We start from the raw sequence: 26,433 nt of genomic DNA, 5'->3' as shown, positions 1-26,433 counted from the left end.
CACCATACCTGGCATGTGTTAGATTTTTTAAAATGTTTCTTGAATGAAAAAAAAGGAAACAGACACACAGCCGGCTCCTGTATTCATATAGCTTCAATTCTACATGAAGGCAACACCTATAAATAAAAATACAGACACAGAACATTCAAACATGCATGGACACAATCTAAACCCCCTTCTTTAGAGTCCTTACACAGTTTACAAACGGAAAAGGCACCATCCTAGAATAGCCAGTAGAGGGCATCACACACCAAATGTAGTCAGAATGTGGCTACAGAAATTGAGTTCAAGTTCTAGTTCCTGCTGATCTGAAGGATTCTAAATGGACACCAAAGCAGAGAATATTGTTGGCCTGTGCTCTGCAAGTACCTGTATTTCTATTTTGGTGTAATCACGGATAGAAATGTTCCTGTTTGCCTCATTTCATTTTCAGAGATGACTTTTAAAGCATGAAACAGTGAAAAATGCTTATTATAATGGCAAATTTGAAAAGCAAGATACAAAACTGCTTAGGTCTATTGGTGTATGGAGCCAATATGAAATCTGATAACTGCTATGTCAATAAATTTTCTTAAAAGACAAAGCAAACCTGGCATGATGGTGTGTGCCCAGCTATCCTACTTGGGAAGCTAAGGCGGGAGGATCGCTTGAGTCTGTGAGCTCGAGGTTGTAGTGAACTGTGAATGCGCAGCTGCACTCCAGCCTGGATAACAGAGTGAGACCCTGTCTCAAAAAAAAAAAAAAGAAAGAAAAGAAAAGAAAAAGAAAAGACAAAGCATTGAAATAAAATGGAAAGAAGAAACATGAACAGTGATTCTCTTTGTGATGACTTTTTAGATATACATGCATTTTTATTTTTCTGTATCCTCCAAATTTCTTGAGCACTTTGATAATGTAAAATATATATTTGGCACAAAACAAGATTTAATATTTATTAATGGGTAGCGTTTATGAAAAGTTCTCTGTAGCCACATATTGTGTTTCATTCTTTTTGGAGATATAGTTATTGATGGTGGGTGTGGGGAACCTCTATTGGCCATTTAAGTCCGTGGTTCTTGATAGTGGCTCTTCATTGGAATCACCCAGGGCACATCTCCATCGCCAAACTCAGGCCTCACTTCAGGGATTCTGATTTGATGATGAACCTAAAACTATCAACAATGTTTATTTTCAAGACACTTAGGAGAGGTGCTATTAGAATAAGTGCTCTTCTGTTTCAGTAACTTGTACCTCTTGAGAAGAAAATGTCAAGTCTAGAAAAAGAACTTCAGAGATTGAATAACCACACACTAACTGATTGATCTATGTGTGGGAAATGGTGTAACAACTACACCCTGAATCAGGGCTGCCACAGTTGTATGTGTGTATACAACTTACAGCTCTAAAAACTGGCTTGATTCCAACATTTCCTCTAACTACCCTGCAGCCCTTGGGAGATAATTAGCTAATGACAGTAAAGGGCTTTTAAACTTGAAACATGTTATATAAATGCTAAACACAGGAAACACACAGAGGATTTCCACTGATTGCCAATACTTTGCAACCAGAGACAATTGGACACCTCTTTCAGCCAATTTCTTTTTTTTTTTTTTTTTTTTTTGCAACTGAAATCTTCCTAATCTTTAATCCCAGGGAAACAAAGGAAGTTCTTTTTTTAATGCCTTTCCTACAAATCAAAGACCTAAGAGGGTTGCTCCTTTGACTATCTCACAAGTGAGGTTCCAACAAAACACCACGTTGTAATGTGGTTTGTATGGATGAAGGTTTTGCAGTTCGCTGGTTTGCTTGTATAACTGAAGCTGGGTGCTACCCAAAAAAAGGGTCATACCAGGTTGTCCAGTAGGAGTCCTGGTACTACCCTATACATCATCTCTTGTTTAAAGCAAATAATTTGTGCATGTGGTAATAAATCACATTGTATAAAATAATTTCCATTGAAAAGCAATAGCCTTTCCTCCCTCCCCTTCTTGCTCAGCTCCAGTTCTTCTGCAGAGAAAAACTTCCTTGTTTCATCTGGTATGAGATCACTTGGTGTTTACTTCCATTGCACTCTATATTGCTCTTCTTGGTTTACCAACTTTAATCAATAGCGTTAATTTCACAGTATAAAAATGAGCACGTCTCATATTACCCTCCTCTTCCCAATGTTTAAAACAGTAATCATATATTTTATTTCCTCTTTTGGAACTAAACTTTTATATTTTTAAATAAGTACTCAAATTTCTATTGATTTTTAATAGCATATCTCTGGCTTTCTGTTCTATAAAATGTAGTGGCTCCCCTTCCCATTCCTGCACTTTTCTTCTCTCTTACATTTTTGTCAGCTATACTTTACAACTAACAAAATGGTTAATATTTGTATTGTGTACTGCCATCATAAAAAACTATTTTCTACTTTTTTTATAGGTTGACTTTAGAAGTTAAAAATCTACATAATTCCTTCCAAAAAGTGAGAGGTGACAGCGTGCTGGCAGTCCTCACAGCCATCGCTTGCTCTCTGCGCCTCCTCTGCCTGGGCTCCCACTTTGGCGGCACTTGAGGAGCCCTTCAGCCCGCTGCTGCACTGTGGGAGCCCCTTTCTGGGCTGGCCAAGGCCGGAGCCGGCTCCCTCAGCTTGCAGGGAGGTGTGGAGGGAGAGGCGCGGGCGGGAACCAGGGCTGCGCGTGGTGCTTGCGGGCCAGCGCGAGTTCCGGGTGGGCGTGGGCTAGGCGGACCCCGCACTCGGAGCCGCCAGCCGGACCCACCGGCCCGGGCAGTGAGGGGCTTAGCACCTGGGCCAGCAGCTGCTGTGCTCAATTTCTCGCAGGGCCTTAGCTGCCTTCCCACCAGGCAGGGCTTGGGACCTGCAGCCCGCCATGCCTGAGCCTCCCCAAGCTCCGTGGGCTCCTGTGCGGACCGAGCCTCCCCGAGGAGCGCAGCCCCCTGCTCTATGGCACCCAGTCCCATCAACCACCCAAGGGCTGAGGAGTGCGGGCGCACGTTGCGGGACGGGCAGGCAGCTCCACCTGCAGCCCCCCACTGCAGGATCCACTGGGTGAAGCCAGCTAGGCTCCTGACTCTGGTGGGGACTTGGAGAACCTTTATGTCTAGCTAAGGGATTGTAAATACACCAATCAGCACTCTGTATCTAGCTCAAGGTTTGTAAACACACCAATCAGCACCCTGTGTCTAGCTCAGGGTTTGTGAATGCACCAATCCACACTCTGTATCTAGCTACTCTGGTGGGGACTTGGAGAACCTTTTTGTCCACACTCTGTATCTAGCTAATCTAGTGGGGACGTGGAGAACCTTTGTGTCTAGCTCAGGGATTGTAAACGCACCAATCAGCACCCTGTCAAAACAGACCACTCCGCTCTCTGTAAAATGGACCAATCAGCAGGATGTGGGTGGGGCCAGATAAGAGAATAAAAGCAGGCTGCCCGAGCCAGCAGTGGCAACCCGCTGGGGTTGCCTTCCACACTGTGGACTCTTTGTTCTTTCACTCTTTGCAATAAATCCAGCTGCTGCTCCCTCTTTGGGTCCACACTGCCTTTATGAGCTGTCACACTCACCGCGAAGGTCTGCAGCTTCACTCCTGAGCCAGCGAGACCACGAACCCACCAGAAGGAAGAAACTCCGAACACATCCTAACATCAGAAGGAACAAACTCCAGACGCACCACCTCAAGAGCTGTAACACTCACCGTGAGGGTCCGCAGCTTGATTCTTGAAGTCAGTGAGACCAAGAACCCACCAATTCCGGACACAAAAGTATAATAAGGAAAGGGGGAGAGGACAAGTGATCATACATTGGAGAAACCTGGTAAACTCTAGCTCAATCAGGTGATTGAAGTCAGGGTCAACAGTCATACTGATAGTATGTACTATCTATACATAGTATGAATGTGCTCTTGACTTCATGTGATAAAAATGGCACCTTACCTTTGCGGTCCTCTTCACGAAACCAATCACCCCAGTCTAATAATGAGAAAAAAATAAAAATAAAAAAATCCCAAGTGAGAGACAGTCTACAAAACCGTAATTAGTACTCCTCAAAATTCAAAATCATCGAAAACAAGAAAAGCCTGAGAAACTGCTATAGCCTAGAGGAGCCTAAGAAGACGCGGCAACGAAATGAAATGTGATAACCTGGATGCGATGAGATTCTAGAAGAAAGACATGAGGGAGAAAATAAAAAAAACTGCATAAGTTATGAACTTCAGTTATTAATAACATCAGTACTCATTCATTAATTGTAACAACTGGACTATACTAATGTAAGATGTTAATACGGGAAACTGACTGCAGGGTATATAGCAACTCTCTGTACTATTTTGCAATTTTTCTGTAAATTTAAAACAGTCCTAAAAAATAAAGTTATTTAAAATGTTTTTTAAAAAATAGAAACAGGCTGGGCACGGTGGCTCACTCCTGTAATCCTAGCACTTTGGGAGGCTGAGGTGGGCAACTGCCTGTGCTCAGGAGTTTGAGATCAGCCTGGGCAACATGGTGAAACCCTGCCTCTACTAAAAATACAAAAAATTAGCTGCGCATGGTGCTGTGTGCTTGTAGTCCCAGCTACTTGGAAGGCTGAGGCAAGAGAATCCTTGAACCTGGGAGGTGGAGATTGCCATGAGCCAAGATTGTGCCACTGCACTCCAACCTGGGTGACAGAGAGAGACTCTGTCTCCAAAAGAAAAAGAAAAAAAGAATCCAATATACTGCACATACTCAATTATGAATAATATAAACATTGTTTAATGTTAATGTGCTAGGATATTTTCTTTTCCATGGACTTAATGTTATAACCCCTGGGTCTCTCAAATGAGGCTATTTCTAGCATGAAGGTCAAATGAATTGCCTTTTCGTACACTCTGTTAACTGCTTATTTTCCTGTCCAGTTGTAGTTTGCTTCATGTGTGGTCTGTGACTTTATTGTTCAGAATTTTGTTTCTCTCAAGTTTCCAATTGTCATTTTATCTTGTGTATTCTAGCCCGTGGCATTTTCTACCCATTTTAACCATTAACCCTCCCCTTTCACTTTATTTTAGGATTTGTTGAAATTTCCAGTTTATTGCTTTCTACCTCTCCCTACTACATGTTTTGTTTGTTTGTTTGTTTTGGTTTTTTTTTTCCCCTGTGCTTATTTACTTTTATTTCAGTGAGGTCATGGGGGAAGGTGAGTGCATATAGGTTCACTCTCCTGTCTCAAAAGAGAAACTTACTTCACCTTTCATACAATTTCATCAATACTTACTAGAGTATACTAGCTGAGATCTGACTCAAAGAAAGGAACAGTGTATGCAGTGTTATACTGGGCTAGTTCTAGTACTCAAGGAAAAAGAAATAGTACTTTCCATCAATTAGTGACCTTCCTGCCCCAGGTATTTCTAGAAGCAAGTTATTCTGATCAATACAATTCTCTTACTTGTTTTTAAAGAGCACATGATGGTAGGAAAATGAGTTATTTTAACAGAAAGGTTGAAGGTACTTGTCCAAGGTCATTCAGCTAATAAAATAAGTGAAAGCATTACCACTAGAAAACAAACTAGGGTAGCCGGGCACGGTGGCTCACGCCTATAATCCCAGCACTTTGGGAGGCCGAGGCGGGTGGGTCACCAGCCTGGCCAAGATGATGAAACCCCGTCTCTACCAAAAATACAAAAAAAATTAGCCGGGCATGGTGGCACGTGCCTGTAATCCCAGCTACTCTGGAGGCTGAGGCAGAGAATTGCTTGCAGTGAGCCGAGATCGCGCCACTGCACTCCAGCCTGGGCCACAGAGCGAGATTCGGTCTCAAAAAAAAAAAAAAAAAAAACAAGGGTGGCCAGAGGAGTTTTCTGACACACACCCCATCCTGAACCTGGAATCGCTGTTTCCCACTTGTTTCTCTCCGGTCTTCTCCTCTCTGACCATATCCTTTTCAGAAATTCTGAAAAGAGGCCTAGAGAGAGGGCGGGGTACGTACGGTGGGAGGCTAAGAGTACTCGCCGGGAAAGTGTCTCCTGCTTTTTCCAGGGATCTATTTGCTGTGGCTGAGATAAGAGAACTCTGGGGACTTGCCTTCCCTCTTCACTCCCTCCCTTATCCCAAACCTGCCTAGGTGGGGCTGATACAGACAGCAGGCCTGGCTCTACTTGTTTTGACAAAATATATGCCCTGGCTTTAGAATTAAATATCTCTCATTGGGTGGATAGCAGATGTTCATATTTACATAATAAATCTTTCTCCTCAAAGTTTTCTTATTCCTAAATATTCATGCTGATATGAATTACTGAAAAAAGGAAGGTCATAAGTGTATGATGTTTAGTTCAGTAAATTAGTATTAGGCAAAAGGGGCCAGGTGCGGTGGCTCACGCCTGTAATCCTATCACTTTGGGAGGCTGAGGCGGGTGGATTGCCTGAGCTCAGGAATTTGAGGCCAGCCTGGGCAACATGGTGAGTAAAATACAAAAAAAATTAGCCAGGCGTGGCGCCTGTAGTCCAGCTACTCGGGAGGCTGAGGCAGGAGAATTGCTTGAACCTGGGAGGCTGAGGTTGCAGTGAGCTGAGATTGCGCCACTGCACTCCAGCCCGGGAGACAGAGTGAGACTCCGTCAAAAAAAAAAAAAAGAAAAAAACACCATATATATTAAGCAAAATGAATTTTTTCCTGTACTTTTTAATTCTTTGTTGTTTTTTGCTTCCAGAAACTGGAGAAGAGAAAGAAAAATGCTAACAGTACACTTGACTGTTTATTTAATTGTTAAAGCATAAAGTAATGAGGGAGAAGTCCTTCCTCCTCCATATCCTACAATTGCCTTCTGTAACTCTACTCAGATATTATTCCCCCAGGGCAACAGTGATTGTATCCTCTAGAGGATGTAACTGGAGAGTCGAATAACAAAGCCGTATTCAACCTTCAAAAACCAAGGCACTAATGTGCTATAAACCATTTCTTTGGATCCCGTGTTGAAAATACACCCCTTCCTAGGAGGCAACCCTGTGCTGCACTGAGAGCTTCCATTGATTCTTATTAATTTATCTGAAAACGAAGGACAGCTGTGACTTAGCAAAATTTCTTATTTATGAGGGACACACCTCGTCTCCCTTAGCAGCTTCTCTCCATCCTCCCAGATTTTTGTTTTGGGAGCTGTACATCGCCAGTGAACTAAATGGTTCAATACTAGAATCTTCTAATTTTTTACTTGAGAATATTGGCAAATATGAATTTAAAACTCCAGTCTCTACATTGAGAAAATTCTTATTGAGGCTAAAATGAAATATTTTAAAAATCTCAAAATAGTTTGCCCTCAAAATCAATGAATGCCTAGATAAGGATAATGAGATATCCACATAAAAACTATTTAAAAATAAAAAATGTGGTTAAGATGAACTATCTGGTTATTATACATCTATTAATAGCATAAAACATTGGCATTAAAAAAATATTGGAGGCTGGGTGTAATCTTAGCACGTTGAGAGGCTAATATTGGAGGTTCACGCCTGTAATCCCAGCACTTTGGGAGGCCAAGGTGGGCGGATCATGAGGTCAGGAGTTCAAGACCAGCCTGGCCAACATAGTGAAACCCCATCTCTACTAAAAATACAAAAAAATTAGTCGGGCATGGTGGCAGGCACCTGTAATCCCAGCTACTTGGGAGGCTGAGGCAAGGAGAAATGCTTGAACCTGGGAGGCGGAGGTTGCACTGAGCCAAGATAGCACCACTGCACTCCAGCCCAGGCAATAGTGTGAGACTCCATCTTAAAACAAACAAAAAAAGGTTTAAGATAGCATTTAAATTTCAGAGTCACTACATGAGGACACATAAATACAGCAAATTATGTTATCAAAGGCAATAAGAAAAAGGCATGTTTTGATTGATCCAACACTTTAATTAATACATAGTTGACAATTTTCAAGGAATTGAAATTTTGTATGAGTTCAGTATTAAAACTAGACTGACCTAATTTAACCTATCATGCTCTCTCTCTTTTTTTTTTAGATGTTTCCAAAAATAATTCATGGACCTTATTAAAATTGAAAACGTTGCTCTTTGGAAAACATTGTTAAGAAAATTAAGAGGCAAGCCACAGATTGAGAAAAACATTTGCAATGCACTCATTTGACAAGGTACTTGTATCTAGATTATATAAAGACCTCTTTCCACCTGGAGAAAAACTATAAACGAAAATCATATGGGCCGGGCGCAGTAGCTCACAGCTGTAATCCTAGCAGTTTGGGAGGCCAAGGCTGGTGGATCACCTGAGGTCAGGAGTTCGAGACCAGCCTGGCCAACATGGTGAAACCCTGTCTCTGCTAAAAATACAAAAATTAACCAGGCGTGGTGGTGTGCACCTATAATCCCAGCTACTCAGGGGGCTGAGGCAGGAGAATCGCTTGAACCCAGGGGCAGAGGTTGCCGTGAGCCGAAATCGTGCCACTTCACTCCAGCCTGGGCGAAAGAGTGAAACTCCGTCTCAAAAATAAATAAATAAATAAAATAAAGAAAATCATACTAATAAAAGTCAAATATTAAAAGAAAATATAAAAGACAAAAAAGAACCCTTACTACTCAGTAATAAGATGACAACAACCTACTGTTTTTAAATGGCAACATATTTGAACAGATACATCATAAAATAAGACATACCAATGGTCAAAAGCTCTTGAAGAGACACTCAACATCATTAGTCATCATTGATATGCAAACTAAAGCCACAATCATATATTACCATCCATCCAATAGAATGACTAAAACTAGAAATATATAATAGCTGGAACTCTAACACACTGCTGATAGGAATGTAAATGGTACGACCACATTGGAAAACAATTTGTCAGTTTCTTATAAAGTTCATAGGGAAGACAAATTAACACATATGTCTACATAAAGACTTCTGCACAAATGTTCATAGCAACTTTATATGTTACCAAAATGGAAACAATATACATATCCATCAATGAGTGAATGGATAAATAAATAGTGATTCATCTGTACAAGATAATACTATGCAGCATTCAAAAGAAATGAACCGGACCTACACGGTGGTTCACACCGGTAATCCCAGCACTTTGGTAGGTTAAGGCAGGCCAATTGCTTGAGCTCAAGAGTTCGTGACCAGCCCAGGCAACATAGTAAAACCCAGTCTCTACAAAAGATACAAAAAACAAAAAAATTAGCTGGGCCTAATGGGCGAGCTTGTAGTCCCAACTACTCGGGAGGCTGAGGTGAGATGATTGCTTGAGTTCAGGAGGTTGAGCCACTGCACTACAGCCTGGGTGACAAAGTGAGACCTTGTCAAAAAAAAAAAAAAAAAAAAAACTATTGATAAAAGCAACTGCATGGACAAATCTGAAAAACATTAAGCTGAGTGAGAGAAGCCAAACTCAAAAAAGCACATACTATATAATTTTTCTTACATGAAATTCTCAAAAATGTAAACTAGCCTATAGTAACACAAAGTGGAGCAACAGCTACGTGGGGCTGAGGATGGGTGTGATGTTGACTGTAAAGGGGAACGAGGGAACTTTTTAAGGTGATGGAAATTTTCTATAGTTTGACTGCAGTAGAGGTTAAATGAGTGCATACATTTGTCAAAACTCATCAAACTACAGCTGTTCATGGTTTCAGTTTATTGTACATAAGCTATATTTCAACAAAGTTAACTTTCTAAAAAGCAATAATAGTTACCTTTTTTCTTTTTTGGTGGGGGGGCGGGGGTGGAGTTTTGCTCTTGTCACCCAGGCTGGAGTGCAATGGCGTGATCTCGGCTCACCGCAACCGCCGCCTCCCGGGTTCAAGCGATTCTCCTGCCTCAGCCTCCCGAGTAGCTGGGATTACAGGCATGCGCCACCACGCCCAGCTAATTTTGTATTTTTAGTAGAGACGGGGTTTCTTCATGTGGGTCAGGCTGGTCTCGAACTCCCGACCTCAGGTGATCCACCCGCCTCAGCCTCCCAAAGTGCTGGGATGACAGGCGTGAGCCACCGCACCAGGCCAATAGTTAGCTTTTTTTAAAAAAAAAAATCAGAGAACTGTGAAGCAATAATAGTTATCTTTTAAAAAAGAATCAGAGGGCTGGGCGCAGTGGCTCCCACCTGTAATCCCAGCACTTCGGGAGGCCGAGGCAGGCCGATCACGGGGTCAGGAATTCCAGACCAGCCTGGCCAACATGGTGAAACCCCGACTCTACTAAAAATACAAAATATTAGCTGGGCGTGGTGGCGTGAGCCTGTAATCCCACCTACTCAGGAGGCTGAGGCACGAGAATCACTTGAACCCAGGAGGCGGAGGTTGCCATGAGCCGAGATCACGCCATTGCACTCCAGCTTGGGCAACAAGAGTGAAACTCCATCTCAAAAAAAAAAAAACACAACAACAACAAATACAACAAAAAAAGAATCAGAGAACTGCGATGTCATTGAAGAATTGATTACAGTAGCAAAAATGGAAAGCAAACGAAATATTCATTATCAGATGCTTAGTAAAATCAACTAGAAGAATCTATACTAGGCAGAGAGTGGATCACACCTGTAATCCCAGCACTTTGGGAAGCCATGGTGAGAGGATCACTTGAGGTCAAGAGTTCAAGACCAGCCTGGACAACATAGCAAGACCCCATCTCTACAAAAAATAAATTAGCAGGCATGGTGGCATGTGCCTATAGTCCCAGCTACTCAGGAAGCTGAGGCAGGAGAATCACTTGAGCCCAGGAGGTTGAGGCTGCAGTGAGCCATAATCATGCCACTGCACTCCAGCCTGGGTGACAGAGTGAGACCCTGTCTCAAAAAAAAAAAAAAAAAAAAAAAAGTGTAACCACTGAAAAGGTTGAGGTATATGTTTGAAATGTATGTTCATAACATATAAAGTGAAAAGGCAGCTTACTCACAGGATGTGTATGAACTCATTTGCATATAGTCTACATTATATATACATGTGTGTATTTATGTGCATGAAAATTTCCAAGGGGTCTAATCTATAGAGTGGTTAACTGGAAGGTCAGCTATGAGGTGAAACATTTGCAAAGGGATTTTTCACCACCCCAGTTTTCAATGTTGAATTTTTATAATAAGCTAGTTTTATATCCATCATCAGCACAAACAACAGTGATAATTCCATTTGGAGAAAATAAAAGGTAATTGGAGATGGCCTGGCACATTCCAGGCATCCTTATAAATACCAATCATTTTGTCTTCTCCTAGTTAATTGGATACCAATAAGCAAGGATTTACTATGTGTTGGAAAGGAAAACATTCTGCGCCATACTTCTACTAACCAACTGGAAAAAGCATACAATTGAATTGCGGGAGAGGAAATATGATGACCAAACTTGGCAAGGTAAGAGATTTCCCTGCCTGATCATTTTTCCTACCTCTCCAAAGGAATCAGCAGGTGTCTTTTAGTCTGGGCAAGAAACTCTGAGAGCATCCATCCCTACCTTTACAATGACAGACTCTGAGGGTAAAGCTGATAAACATCAGAGTACTGCAGCCCTGCTTTTTCTGCAGATCCTTAGTATCTTCTGGAGGAAATGGGAATTTTGAAAACCCTAAATGCTCAGAGAAAACACCAAAGAGTCCCCTTACATAAGAGGCAATGTCAGAGCACCTGTGAAACACAGCTCCGTGTGGCATTGTTCTAAGGAGAGACTTACACAATCATGTCATCTTCATGTGTCTTCTCAGCTCTGCAATTAAATATTCTCTTATTGCCTCCTGTAGTTCCCCTAGTCTAGACATTATAATTATCATGACAATTCTTCCAATGTCCTAATTAACAGAGAATGAAAAACCCTGGAAAAAGAAAGTCAGGACCCCGGAACTTGGAAGTCATATCTGCCAATGCCAATGAGGAAATTAGCCAAATATAGAGGAGAATGATTCATCGACTTCTTCACTTCCCTATCTCCCCTTGCTTGACCTTCCTATACTCTTCTCAAAGGAACATATCAAAAGTTTGCTTCTACTTTTCTTCCTCCCTATTTAATCTTCTCACACCACATGGCTCTGCAGAGGCCCATCTAGGCCATCGGAATTTAATAGCTAGTCTGTGCTGCACCAAAACATTCCAGTTTGCAGTATGTTTTTGAAAATGTGTTTTTATGAATAAATTATAAATTTCTGGAGCACACAGATCATTTTTACATGACAGCCTAGATATGAGCAACTTGAGCCTACTCAAACAGGACCTAGGTTTCAGATTTGGGACAGGGATCTTATTAAAGAAGTATCTCTCCAACCTCTTTTCCATCTTTCCCCTTGTGCAATGAGGGACTTGGTAAACTTAATTACAAAGCCACTGTACTCCGTCCAGTGCTCCACCCTCATTTAGCTACTTCAGCAGTGAGTCAGGGGGTCCAGGGGTGCTCAGATGGAGCTCTGCCCAAGGTCAGGGCCACATTTCATACAAAGGGGTTGCCATTTACTGGCAGCTGCAGGATGTTTAGTTGTGAGCCAAAATTCCCCAGCAATTCAGTTCTGTGAGCTGAACTGCCCAGCCCTTCTAGGGAACTCACACCCAGTATCTTATTACTTCTGCCTAGTCACCATCACCTCTCTCTTTTCAACTTTCATTTTCTTACTTCTCGTCTCCTTTTCTCTTTAAAGAAATTTGGAGGGGTTATCAATGAAAAGGGATGTGTCACTAGAGGCAAGGAGAAAAGGGGTCCTCTATTCCCCCTCATTTTATACATATACACATCAAGAACCCAGAGCCTTGTGATGCCCTGAGGCCCAAGACTCCCAGCTAGCTGTCCTTGGACATCCCTTAACAGAGGGTAACAAGAGATTCCCGGCCCCCTGACACTCCCCATTTGTTCCCTGCCATGTTCCTTTTTAAGATGAATGACTAGCCTGAGAACCCAAAGGGGTCAAAATGGCTTAAGAGGTTATCTCTTTTTGATAATAATATCATTCGTATAATATTTAATAGTTTACAAAGCCCTTTCACTAATATATTACCCTGTTGGAGCCTCACTACAACTTTGTGAAGTTGGTTTCATTATTATCCCCTATTTACAGAGGAAGAAATCTGAGCGCTGACTGGTCAAACAAATTAGGCATGTGATCGCATTGGGACTCAGACTAAATGCAGATCCTAGGCACTGTCATCCAACAGTTGCTTTTAGTATAAACTGCCACATCCATAATCCCCAGGATCAGGAAGTTACCTTAGGCTGGTGTCTACGCACAAGGGACCCTAAGTGGACCAGAGGTAGACACCTGGCCTGAGGCAGCCTTTCCATCAGTTGGTTAATGACTCATGAAGATGCCTTGGGCAAAGAGCTCTACCCAAAGGGTAGCCTCACGGAACAAAGGCAACTGGACTTGCTCTCTCAGGCATTTGGATTGAGGGATTGGCCTCTTTTTTTTTCTTTTTTTTTTCTTTTTTTTTTTTTGTTGAGATGAAGTCTCACTCTGTCGCAAGGCTGGAGTGCAGTGGCACATTCTCAGCTCACTGCAACCTCTGCCTCCCGGGTTCAAGCGATTCTCCTGCTTCAGCCTCCTGAGTAGCTGGGACTACAGGTGTGCACCCCCACACCCGGCTAATTTTTGTATTTTTTTTTTAGTAGAGATGGGGTTTCACCATGTTGTTCAGGATGGTCTCCATCTCTTGACCTCACGATCCGCCCAAAGTGCTGAGATTACAGGCCACCGCGCCCGGCCGGGATTGGCCTCTTGATAAAGAGGGAAGACAGAGCAGACACTTCATAGGAAAAAAGCAGAAAGATAACAAGAGGGAGATGATCCTGGCTATGAGAAAGATAAAGGAAACAGCCAGTCCCTAGAGCTCCCTCAATCCCCGAACAGTTTTCTGGTTCCAGTTTGTGTATCTATGATAAACACTCCCTTTCCTGGAGTGCCTCAGTGTTTCTCTCCTCCTTAAAACCAAAGGAGGCTTTCCATTCTCTACCTGGTAGTGATCTTCGCTGACTTATTCCAAAGCAGTGGCCCCTGTCAACTATCCAACAGGAAGAGATATGGGGCAAGGGAGTCTCTCAGATCTCACTAGGGGAGGTGGCTGATCCTATCTCCAGATTTTCTGCTGCTCTCATTTCCTCTCTACCCACAAAGAAAGGCTCTGGCCAAACCAAGAAATTCAGCTCATTGTGGTCTCTCCAATTCAACTGGTGAGGTAGGCAACACACAGGACACATTACTCAATCCAGGTGGTTAATCTGGCTCTTCAAAGATCAACTTTACAAAAATCAAAATTTTTGAATCAAACAATTTATTCTATGATAAGGTAAACAATGTAGTTTTGATTGACAAACTCTGATACTGTGTTCCAAGGGGAAAGATTCTTACGAATAAAAAGGTAGGTTTGTTTCAGTAAGAGAATAGTTTTGGCTGGGCATGGTGTCATACATTTGCAATCCCACCACATTAGGAGGCTGAGGCAGGAAGATGGCTTGTGCCCAGGAGTTGGAGACTAGCCTGAGGAACACAGCAAGATCCTCCTCTCTACAAAAAATTTAAAAACTAGCCAGGTGTGGTGGCACGTGCCTGTAGTCCTAGCTGCTCAGGAGGCTAAGGCAGGAGGATTGTTTGAGCAGGAGGTTGAAACTACACTGAGCCATGACCATGACACTGTCTGGGTGACAGAGTGAGACCTTGTCTCAAAAAATAAAAATTAAAAAGGAAAAAAAGAGACACTATTTTTTAAATTATACTGCAGAACAATGTGATGGCCTTACAAAATCTGTTTTCTAAACACCTCTCTGTGACTAAAAGATACAATAGTTGGAAGAAAGGAGTAATTTGAAGGAATTTTCTATCTCAAGCAAAGACTTTATCCAGGAGGCTGTATTTTCCACTCACCTAGATATTATAAAAGGAAGTATAATCTGACTCACCACCTAGAACTAGTTTTCATACCTTTGCCTTTTTTTCCTCTCTTCATTTTTCCCTTTTCCATTTTTCCTTTAGCTATACTTTTTTTCTTTTTGGAGACAGGGTCTCACTCTTTCATCCCGGCTGGAGTGCAGTGGCGTGATCTCAGCTCACTTCAGCCTCAACCTCCTGGACTCAATAGATCCTCCCACCGCAGCCTGCCCCGGGGTAGCTGGGACTACAGGTGTGCACTACCATGCCTAGCTAATCTTTGTATTCTTTGTAGAGATGATGTTTCGCTATGTTGCCCAGGCTGGTCTCAAACTCCTGGTGATCAGCCTGCCTCAGCCTTTCAAAGTGCTGGGATTACAAATGTGAGCCACCATGCTTGGCTATCTATACTTTTTAAAAGATAATCTGCATCATTTTTTATTGTGTTCAAACTTTTGGGAGGGGCCATATTCCCAAATACTTTTACCTGTTTTAACAAGAAGCATTAAATATGAGGGCCCCAGGTATCTAAATCAAAGCACTTCAAAAGGCAGCTGGCTCTGCAATCCTGAATATAATAGTCTAAACAAATATGATTCAGCTTGAATTTGTTGTAATGCCAAGAGCTTTCCAACCAGGAATATCCTGACATGAAACAGAATTAAGAAAGTATCTGGATTCTTTCAAAGCTTAGGTATAGTGGTTCAAGCCTCTGGTTTTTTTTGTTGTTGTTGTTACCAGAGAGGTAGGACAATGAATGAATCAATTGGGGGCATATTTTGCAAATAAAAACAAAAGGGAAAAACAAACAAAAACACCTAAGATTGACAGACTTAGTAGCCTCTCACAACATTTAAGTCAGGAGATAAATATTCTGGCTTTCTGGCTTCTATAGTAGAGGGCAATAAGGAAAAAGGTTTTGGATAAGCCAACCCCCAGCGTCTGCCACAAACAGAATAGTAAGGGAGAGGAAGCAATCTAAAGTCACCCTCTGAGGTGGGAAGCTCTCAGGCTTATGCCCTAAAAGGTAAAGTCCCATTCTAGACAAGACAGTACTGAAATAGCTCTCTGGTTAGTGTTCAGTATTCTAGCTGAGTAACATGTTTATGGGCAGGCAGAGCAAAGATGCCTTCAGAGAAAATGTACAGGGAGGAAAGCACTGTCTAAACAGGAGATGACCTCACTGAAGAAGGCTTCCAACACCTCTGTCAGGCTCACAGCTACCTGATTCTTCAGGTCACAGTATGCACAGTGATTCTTCCAGGAGGCCTACCTGGACTTCTTATGCTAAATTATATGCCTTTGCCAAATGCTCACACATAATCTTGAAGTTAAGCCTTGTAACATCTCTCTTTCATTTGTACGCCTTGTTTGATGTCTTCTTTTCCTTTTAGACATGGAAGTTCTATGAGGGAAGAGTCCATATCTGTCATGTTCCCTGATATTTCTCAAACACTTAGCACAATGTTTGGCATATAATAGGTGCTCACTAAATTTGTTTTGGGTGGAGCTAAGCTGATTTGGCTCTCCTACTAAAATGTTATGCTCCTTCATAAGTCATCACATTCACAGATACTTATTATAATTACATAATTACTTATTTAAAATCTGTTTTTCTTACTAATCCTTTAGCTCTATGAGGGCAGGGCAAAGTCAGTTTGATGTGACTCCAGCATCTCTCATAGTGCCTGCTATATAAATATCGTATAGATGTTCAATAAATACTTGTTGAATAAATGATTGCTTTAGACAAGATATATAACCTCCCTGACACTCGGATTCCCAATCTGCAATCAATCATAACCACCACCATAAGTACCATGATGATTAAATGCCATGCATGTTCCCCATGGTGAACCCACAGACTGAAGTTCTGGGGTTTGCCATGGAATGAAAAAGCAGAACAGAGAATTCAGAGAACTAATCTGGAATCTGGTCCCAGAAGCTTTAATCTACAAAAGGTATGTGACAAAAATAAGGGACCATTTTCATTTTCTAGGGCTGTCATAACCAAGTACCACAGACTGGGTAGCTTAAACAACAGAAATCTATTTTCTCACCATTCTGGAGGCAAGAAGCCCTGGATCAAGGTATTAGCAGCGTTCATTTCTTCTGGGGCCTCTCTTCTTGGCTTATAGATGGCCATCTTCTCTCTGTCTTTACATGGTCTTCCCTCTGTGTGTGTCTGCGTCCTAATCTCTTTTGATAAGGACACAAGACATTTTGGATTAGGGCCTACCCCAATGACCTCCTTTAGCCTTGTCTCTTTAAAGACTCTATCTTCAAATAATTCCTAAGGTACTGGGGTTTGGGGCTTCAACATATAAATTTGGGGGTGTCACAATGTAGCCCATAACAGGGGGCATTGGAAAATATACTCCTATTCTCTCTTCAATTCAAAAAATATCTCATACATAATCTTCTGGTGGAGGGTAATAAGTTTTAAAATACCTACAGCCTGCTAAGAGGGTGGTCTATTAGCAACTCACACCTCAATATGAATTGCTTCATTGAGTGGAATGCTTTCCTATAAGCCATAAGAAACCAGCGGCCCAGGTGAGAGAGGAGGTCAAGGAATGAGAAATGAATCATTTTGATTCACGAGTTACTACTGGGAAGGGTAGAGCTGGGTAGGCCTGGGAAGAATGATAAATAAAATATTTTAGACATCTACTGTGTGTTGTGCAAAGAATTAGTGACATTAGTCCATTGTATTCTTTACATTAACTCAGTGAGACAGATGCGTTAACATCATCCTCGTTTTACAGTAAGAGAAGCTTAGACACAGAATAATTAAGTCAGAGCAGGGATTGGAATCTGTCTCAAAAAAAAATAATAAAAATAAAATAAAGCCTACCTACTCATATAATTTCAGGAAAAAACCCAGCACTATCTAGAGTGACCAACAATCCTGGTTTTCCTTGGACTAAGGGATTTTTCTGGGACAGAGATTTTCAGCACTAAGCCTTAACCATAATAATAATAAAAAAGAACAATAAAAGGAGAGTAATTAAAAATAAATTATCATGTATTAGAAGACTTTGCTTGGGCCAGGTTACATGAGAAGACACATTGAAGTAGTCAGTTGCTTATACTTTTTTTTTTTTTTTAGACAGAGTCTTGCTCTGTCGCCCAGGCTGGAGTGCAATGGCGTGATGTTGGCTCACTGCAACTTCTGCCTTCCGGGTTCAAGTGATTCTCCTGCCTCAGCCTCCTGAGTAGCTGGGATTACAGGTGCATGCCACCACACTCGGCTAATTTTTATAATTTTAGTAGAGATGGGGTTTCACCATGTTAGTCAGGCTGGTCTTGAACTCCTGACCTCAGGAGATCCGCCCGCCTCAGCCTCCCAAAGTGCTGGGATTATAGGTGTGAGCCACCGCGCCCAGCCTGCTTACACTTTCTTATAATGAATGTTAGGATATAAATAAGCATATCTATACAAGAAATAAGAAAATGAAAGAACAAGGATGTGGGCTACACTAGAATAAAATATAGTTTAGAGAAATTTAAATTTATTCATGTGAGAATGGAAAAAGTGTCAATTTAATTGGAATAGGGATAACATGCAAAACAAATTACAATGTCAAAGTTGAAAACATGAGGACTCTGATATCCACAGCTGAGTTGTGTCTTGTCATAAACATAGGGTCTCTCTATATGTACAGATATATGCTACTTCATGGGACAGAGTAGTGTCTCTTTTCTTGAAATCCCTCTGTGCTTTGTGGCATCAAGTTAGGCACCAGTACTTAAAATGACCTTGGGGACCATGCTCTTGGATGGACAACAGGAACTTGATAATAAACTGTGTAAAGAAATAGTGGCCAGTCACGGTGGCTCATGCCTGTAATCACAGCACTTTGGGAGGCCAAAGCAGGCAGATCACCTGAGGTCGGGAGTTCGAGACCAGCCTGACCAACATGGAGAAGCCCTGTCTCTACTAAAAATACAAAATCAGCCAGGCATGGTGGCACATGCCTGTAATCCCAGCTACTCAGGAGGCGGAGGCAGGAGAATCACTTAAACCTGGGAGGTGGAGGTTGCGATGAGCCGAGATCGTGCCATTGCACTCCAGCCTGGGCAACAAGAGCAAAGCTCCATCCCAAAAAAAAAAAAAAAAAAGAAAAGAAAAGAAATTAGGAGTTACATGGAGGTTATGCGGCACAGATCAATTCTAAGTCTATTGAAAGATGTGTCAAAGCTTCTACGGTACGTATTTGCACCTGACAGCTACAATTGCAGACTGATACACGTGTGGCATTATAGTGAGTCAAATACCATGAGCAGTATTGCAATAGGTGATATATTTTCTGAAGTGGTGATCATTTTTTGAAAAGTCCAAACAAAACACAGTACAATCTTCCCTTTGTTTAGCTGGTGATTGCATTCCTAAATGGTTCATATTTGTATATAAAATGGAATTAGACCTTAGGCTTGGAAATATAAACAGGTTTTCCATGTACAAGAACCTTTATCTGTTGGGACATTAGAAGATCCCATATGATGACAGAAAATTCTTTGTTGTATGGGCTGTCTCACTATGGCAGCATGTCTCTCCTCCATGGTCTCAGTTCATTAAATGCTAGTAGAGCCCGCTCAAGAATGTCCAAATGCCATAGTTTAGATCCATTTCTTTGAGTGCCATCATAGAGGTGAGGGAATTCCAAGTGCTAATGGAACTGAAAGCAGGGCCAGGCATGGATGCAGTGGCTCACACCTGTAATCCCAGCATTTCGGGAAGCTGAAGCAGGAGAATTATTTGATGCCAGGAGTTCGAGACCAGCCTGGGCAAAAAAGCAAGGCCCCATCTCTACAAAAAGTAAAAAATTAAAATAATTAGCTGGGACCTGTAGTCCTAGCTACTCTGGAAACTGAGGTGGGAGCATAGTTTAAGCCCAGAAATTCAAGGCTGCTGTGAACTGTGAACACATCACTGCACTCCAGCCTGGGCAACAGAGTGAGACCCTGTCTCCCACCCCCAACCAAAAAAAAAAGAATTGAGACACAGCAAATATTACTGTGGGAAGAGAAACTGTAAAGGGGAAGGAGTTTGGATTCAGGTGGATAGAGGCTTGAACTTCACCCAACCTTAGACAATTTTTTTTTTAGACAGAGTTTTGCTCTTGTTGCCCAGGCTGGAGTGCAATGGCACCATCTCGGCTCACCACAACCTCCGCCTTCCGAGTTCAAGCGATTCTCCTGCCTCAGCCTCCCAAGTAGCTGGGACTTTACAGGCATGCACCACCACACCCAGCTGATTTTATATTTTTAGTAGAGATGGGGTTTCTCCATGTTGGTTAGGCTGGTCTCAAACTCCCGACCTCAGGCGATCTGCCCGCCTCGACCTCCTAAACTGTTGGGATTACAGGTGTGAGCCACCACGCCCGGCCTCTGCCTTAGACAATTTATATAACCTGCCACGGCTTCAGTTTCTCAGTTTTTTCTTCTTTCAGTTTCCCCACTTTTAAAATAGATCTATAATACTTCTGTTATGAGTTTGTATAAAGACTAAACAAGATTGCAATGTATATAAAATGTTTAACATTACCTTTCAGGGGCCACATTCCAAGTATTTTTTTCCTTGCCATTAAGTGAGAGAATCGCAGTTATCTCAAAGTAAGGGAATATCATGAGGGTAAGCGTCCCACAGCTCAGTTCTTGGAGAAAATAGAAAAGAAGAGAGACAAGAGGAGCATATAAAAGTGACTAATTCAGGAGGAGGTGACATCTGAGTTATCAAGTAGGATAAAATTACCTTGGTTCATAATCAGTAATAGGAGGTCTCAGTACAGCATAGTGACTCTGCTTGGGTTTTATACTCGGAAAACCTGGCTTCCTGTCTTAGCTCTGCTGCTTGCCAATGAGCTGGGGCAAGTCACTTCGCTTCTCAGGTTCTTTATAGGTAAAATGAGTTCAGTAATACCTGCCTTTCCATTTTATTGTGGAATTGAACTGAGATGTAGGATGGAAGGCACCTGGCTCGTAGCCAGACTCTTACACGCAGTAGCTCTTCCTCATCAGTTCAGAGCTGTGTAGCAGCCAAAGGAAAACTTCCCTTTTGCCCCCTAAAGGTTTGCTGAAAATCAGCTGACAAAAGGCAGATTAATAGGAGGAAAGCATATAAATTTATTAAAGTGCATGGAGGAAAATCCCAGATATTATCCCCTCTTTCTCCGTGAATTGGGGTCTAGATGTTTTTATGCCTTTCTTCTTAGAAGAAAGGGAGATGGGGAAGTATGAGTGATGTAAGGGGGTTAGTAAATGATTTTTAGGGGAATTTAATGGGCTCCAAGAACATATAATGGCCTGAGACAAAGCCTGTTGGGCTCACAAAGCAGACAATGTTTTGGGACAAAAGGCTGTCCAGGTTTGTTGACAGACTTGTCCTTTTTTTTTTTTTTTTTTTTTTTTTTTTTTTGAGACTGGGTCTCACTCTGTCGCCCAGGCTGGAGAGTGCAGTGGCGTGATCTCGGCTCACTGCAACCTCCACCTCACGGGTTCAAGCAATTCTCTGCCACAGCCTCCTGAGTAGCCCTGAGTAGCCAGGATTACAAGCGCCCACCACCACGCCCGGCTAACTTTTTTGCATTTTTATTTTAGTAGAGACAGGGTTTCACCATCTTGGCCAGGCTGGTCTTGAACTCCTGACCTCATGATCCACCTGCCTCGGCCTCCCAAAGTGCTGGAATTACAGGCGTGAGCCACCGCGCCTGGCCAACAGATTTGTCTTTCTTCCTGTGATATGAGTTTAGTTAATTAAAACTCAGGGAAGGGATGAGAGGGATTTGTTTTTTCCCTTGGCAGATCTGGACTGTAGGCAGATACGGGAACTTTAGATAACAATTTCATCCTGTGCTTTGGGAGAGATGGAGGATTAAGAGACGGGGTGCAGGGAGGTCAGAGAGAATTTTGAGGCTGCTTCCTCCATTCAGCATGTCAAAGCACCATATTTTGGAGTAGCCTTTTCTGAGCCCAACAGCTGCTAATCCAGCATCTGAAGAAACAGGACTGTTGAACATGAACTTCTGTTATTTATCAGTATTTCAGCCAGGCTAGGCTGGGCTACACTGCAGTTACAAGTAAATTCAAAATTTCCATGACTTAAACTTGAAGATATAGTTCTTATTCATTATACTCTCTATCATTGTCTGCTAGAAGCTTTATTCCACACCATTGTCATCCTTACTCCAGACCTGGGGCTGACAGAGCGACCACTATAGGAATATTGCTGGTTGCCATGACAACAAAAAGATAAGATGGTGAAGCATCTTGACTTTTACAGCTTCCACATACATTTCATTGGCCAAGTCACATGGCAGTGCCTCCAAGTATGGGGGAAATTACGATCCACCATATGTCAGGAAGGAAAGAGAACAAGAATGTTTGTGAACAGCCCTAATGACCACTGTAGTTAGGGAGCAAAGATTTCAAAAGATTTAATTATCTCTTTTCCCAGAGAAAGACTTGACGTGAATTAGCTTGTTGAGAATTGGCAGGTTACCAAGGATATGTTTTTCTTTTCTTGATGAAAATAAATTATTGGCAAATAGTCCTGCTGAGTTGTTGTACTTTTTGCAATGTTTTCCGTTGCCATGGCCCACTGCTGAATTTAACCACCCTAGGTTAATTTCAGTAGCTTTCTTTATTAGAGTTGGGAAGATTGTCTTTTCCTCACCTGTGGGTCTCTTCCTCTCTCCAATGTAATAAAAGTGTATCACTTTTTTTTTTTTTTTTTTTTTTTTTGAGACCGAGTCTCACTCTGTCGCCCAGGCTGGAGTGCAGTGGTGCCATCTCGGCTCACTGCAAGCTCCGCCTCCCGGGTTCACACCATTCTCCTGCCTCAGCCTCCCGAGTAGCTGGAACTACAGGCGCCTGCCACCATTATACTTTTCCTACTCACATTTTAAAGCCCCAAATTTCTGATGGCACCAAAAACAGAACTCTTGATTAGAAATGATGGGTTTGGAACGTCCAAGGTCTTTATGTATATTTTCCACTGAGTTGATTCTCTTTTCTTGTAACTCATAAGTGCTGGAAAATGTTGCTTCCTTTTCCATTTTTAATATTGAGGTGCTTCTCAGATGGTTCTTCTGTAGGGAACCTTCCTAAAACTCATGGGGTATGTCAATTATCTACTGCCACATAACAAATTACCCTAAATCTCAGTAGTGTAAAAGAATGATGGACAGCTGGGCGTGGTGGCTCACGGTTGTAATCCCAACACTTTGGGAGGCCAAGGTGGGCGGATCACTTGAGGTCAGGAGTTCGAGACCAGTCTGGCCAACATGGTAAAACCCTGTCTCTACTAAAAATACATAAATTAGCTGGGTGTGGTGGTCTGTGCCTGTAATCCCAGCTACTCAGGAGGCCGAGACAGGAGAATCACTTGAAACGGGAGGCAGAGGCTACAGTGAGCTGAGATCTCACCACTGCACTCCAGCCTGGGTGACAGAGCGAGACTCTGTCTCAAAAAAAAAAAAAGAAAAAGAAAAAGAAAAGAAAGAAAAAGAATGATGGACATTACTATTTCTCACAGTCGCTGAGGTTCAGGAATTTTGAAACAACCTAGCTGATAGTTTTCGCTTGGAGTCTCTCATGAGGCTGCAGTCAAGATGTTAGCTAGGGCTGCGGTCATCTGAAGGCTTGACAGAGGCTGGAGGACAACTCATGCACATGCTGGAGAGTGCTGACTGCTAACAGGAGATCCCAGTTCCTCCCAGCTTGTGGCTTCTGTAGGGCTGTTTGAGGGTCCTTTTCCCCAAGGAAGTGATGCAAGAACAGCAAAGACAGCTGCAGTGCTTTTTAAGACTAAAACTCAAAGTCACATACTGTCACTTCTACAGTATTCTGTTGCTTATGCAGAATGCATGGGCAGCATGGGAGGGCATTATACAGGGATGTGGTCACCAGGAGGCAAGGATCACTGGAGGCCATCTTAGATGCTGGCTATCACAAAAGTAGGGCAAGAATTCTCTCAATTCCCTTGAAGTCTACCCCAAATATAAACATAAGAATTACAAGGTAAGTTCTATGAAGGCAAGGATTTTTTTTTTTTTTTTCGAGACAGTCTTACACTGTTGCCGAGGCTGGAGTGCAGTGGTGTGATCTCAGCTCACTGCAACCTCCGCCTCCCAGGTTCAGGCAATTCTCCTTGCCTCAGCCTCCCAAATAGCTGGGATTACAGGTGCCCGCCACCACGCCCAGCTAATTTCTTTGTAGTTTAGTAGAGATGGGGTTTCACTATGTTGACCAGGTTGGTCTCGAGCTCCTGACCTCGTGATCCACCCACCTTGGTCTCCCAGAATGCTGGGATTACAGTCGTGAGCCACCATGCCTGGCCAAGGATTTTTTTTTTTTAATCTTTGTTCACTGCTTAGTACTTTGGACATTGCCTAGCACATAATAGCTTCTCAATAAATGTTTTTGCAATGAATAGGTAAGAAAAATCAAGAAAACTTTTTAAAAATCTCTCAGTTAAACATTACAAATACTGTTTTTCAGCTTCAAATAAGGTATATAAATGTCTTGGAAATGTGGTAGTGTCATCACACTGTAGATAGCCAACAAACATTGAGAAAATAGTAAGACTTGCCAAGTTCCCTCCAAATTGGTGTTTAGAAGTGTGATTTTATTAGGGAGGCAATGTAGCACAGTGAATAGATGCAAAAAAACTGAGATTTTTGTCTAGGTTCTACCACCAGTTAGCTTCGTGAATTTAAGCAAGACAGCCTCATTCTTCCTACTTACAAAACCAGAGACTTGTATTAAATGATATTAAAGGCACTTCTAGCATGAACATTCGGATATTGTTTATTTGATCTCAACTTGAATTTTGCCATACACTTAAAACTAGGCCTATAAGACAATTTCTGATGTAATCTATTTATTGGATAGTTCTTTCATGTGCATCAGGCTTCAGTCTAAAATGTGTGCATAGGTTTGGGTTTATTTCAAGACTGTGGGGTGAGTCACTAAGTCTATGTGTATAAAGATTCTAGAAGTCCCTTGGGAAATAATTTACTCTAATGGAAGTGACAATTTGGTTCAAAAACAGTGTCTCAAGAATTGGAAGGGAAAGGCAATTTTTAAAATAGCTCCATGTCTACCTATCAAATTATCTGATTTCATAGCCCCCATTTGCTCATGTTTGAGTACCCAAGAGATGGGGCTGGAAGTAAAATGGATGCATTAAAATCTACAGTAATTTGACACAGATAACTTTTTCATGTGTTATTTATAGCTGAACACAGTACTCTAAGAGTGGTCTAACCACAGGAAGAGAATGCAAACACTTTTCTATTTGGAACAGTATAAAGTTAGAATTTTATTTTGGAGGCAGTGCATCGTCCGAACTCTTGATTCACGGTCAATAATCAAAGCTTCAAATAGTGTAGTAACCACATCTTCATCTATACTTTTCATTAAATACCCTCTTGTCAGATTCATCCTGTTGTTCTCAGTCCAGGTCCTTTGGATCCTGCTTTATGTCACTTATGCACTGGCAGTGTTTTGGTTAGTGTTCCAACAGGAAACTGACCGGAGTGCCGGGAAACCACAAGGGGTTGTCCAGGGCTAGTAACTTCAGAGAAGCTGACAAGAAGAGTGAGGATCAAGGCAAAGCAGCCTTCTTGTCTCTCATAATGAGGGAGTCATAGGCTGGACTGCAGGGAGGGGATGTCCTCTATCCATTGCGTCTCCTGCTGGAACTCCCTGTGGCCAGACCCAGCTGTAAGCCACAGGAGCCTATTGGCATGGTTTGTATAAGCCAGCCTCCCTACAGAGAGCAGGGTAGAGAGTGGATCTGGGAGAGCAATGGACTTCTCTGGGACATTAATTAAAAGGTAGAACGTCCAAGACCATGAATGGAAATCCTTGGCATACCCACTAGACATTTTTTCATTTCATGTTGATTCATTAATCTGAAACATACTGACCATATGATATATCTTAACCAGGAAAATTACTCTACATTCTTTTTTTTTTTTTAATTATACTTTAAGTTTTAGGGTACAGGTGCACAATGTGCAGGTTAGTTACATATGTATACATGTGCCATGCTGGTGTGCTGCACCCATTAACTCATCATTTAGCATTAGGTATATCTCCTAATGCTATCCCTCCCTCCTCCCCCCACCCCACAACAGTCCCCAGAGTGTGATGTTCCCCTTCCTGTGTCCATGTGTTCTCATTGTTCAATTCCCACCTATGAGTGAGAACAGGCGGTGTTTGGTTTTTTGTCCTTGCAATAGATTACTGAGAATGATGATTTCCAATTTCATCCATGTCCCTACAAAGGACATGAACTCATCATTTTTTATGGCTGCATAGTATTCCATGGTGTATATGTGCCACATTTTCTTAATCCAGTCTATCATTGTTGGACATTTGGCTTGGTTCCAAGTCTTTGCTATTGTGAATAGTGCCGCAATAAACATACGTGTGCATGTGTCTTTATAGCAGCATGATTTATAGTCCTTTGGGTATATACCCAGTAATGGGATGGCTGGGTCAAATGGTATTTCTAGTTCTAGATCCCTGAGGAATCGCCACACTGACTTCCACAATGGTTGAACTTGTTTACAGTCCCACCAACAGTGTAAAAGTGTTCCTATTTCTCCACATCCTCTCCAGCACCTGTTGTTTCCT

The 26,433-nt window shown here is 42.1% G+C and overlaps 1 long non-coding RNA gene across 1 annotated transcript; it reads right to left on the bottom strand.

The window, feature by feature from the left end:
- On the bottom strand, window positions 815-22,476 carry LOC105378847 (uncharacterized). Its single transcript, XR_001738142.2, has 3 exons — window positions 20,336-22,476; window positions 16,845-16,983; window positions 815-3,956 (listed from the first exon to the last, which is right to left on the bottom strand). It is a non-coding gene; the product is annotated as an uncharacterized LOC105378847 (long non-coding RNA).
- Window positions 22,477-26,433: the final 3,957 nt, after the last annotated feature.

This window comes from Homo sapiens, chromosome 1 (genome assembly GCF_000001405.40).
Source record: "Homo sapiens chromosome 1, GRCh38.p14 Primary Assembly".
NCBI lineage: Eukaryota > Metazoa > Chordata > Mammalia > Primates > Hominidae > Homo > Homo sapiens.
Note: the sequence above shows the minus strand (reverse complement) of the source record. Positions and strands in the feature narration are given on the sequence as shown.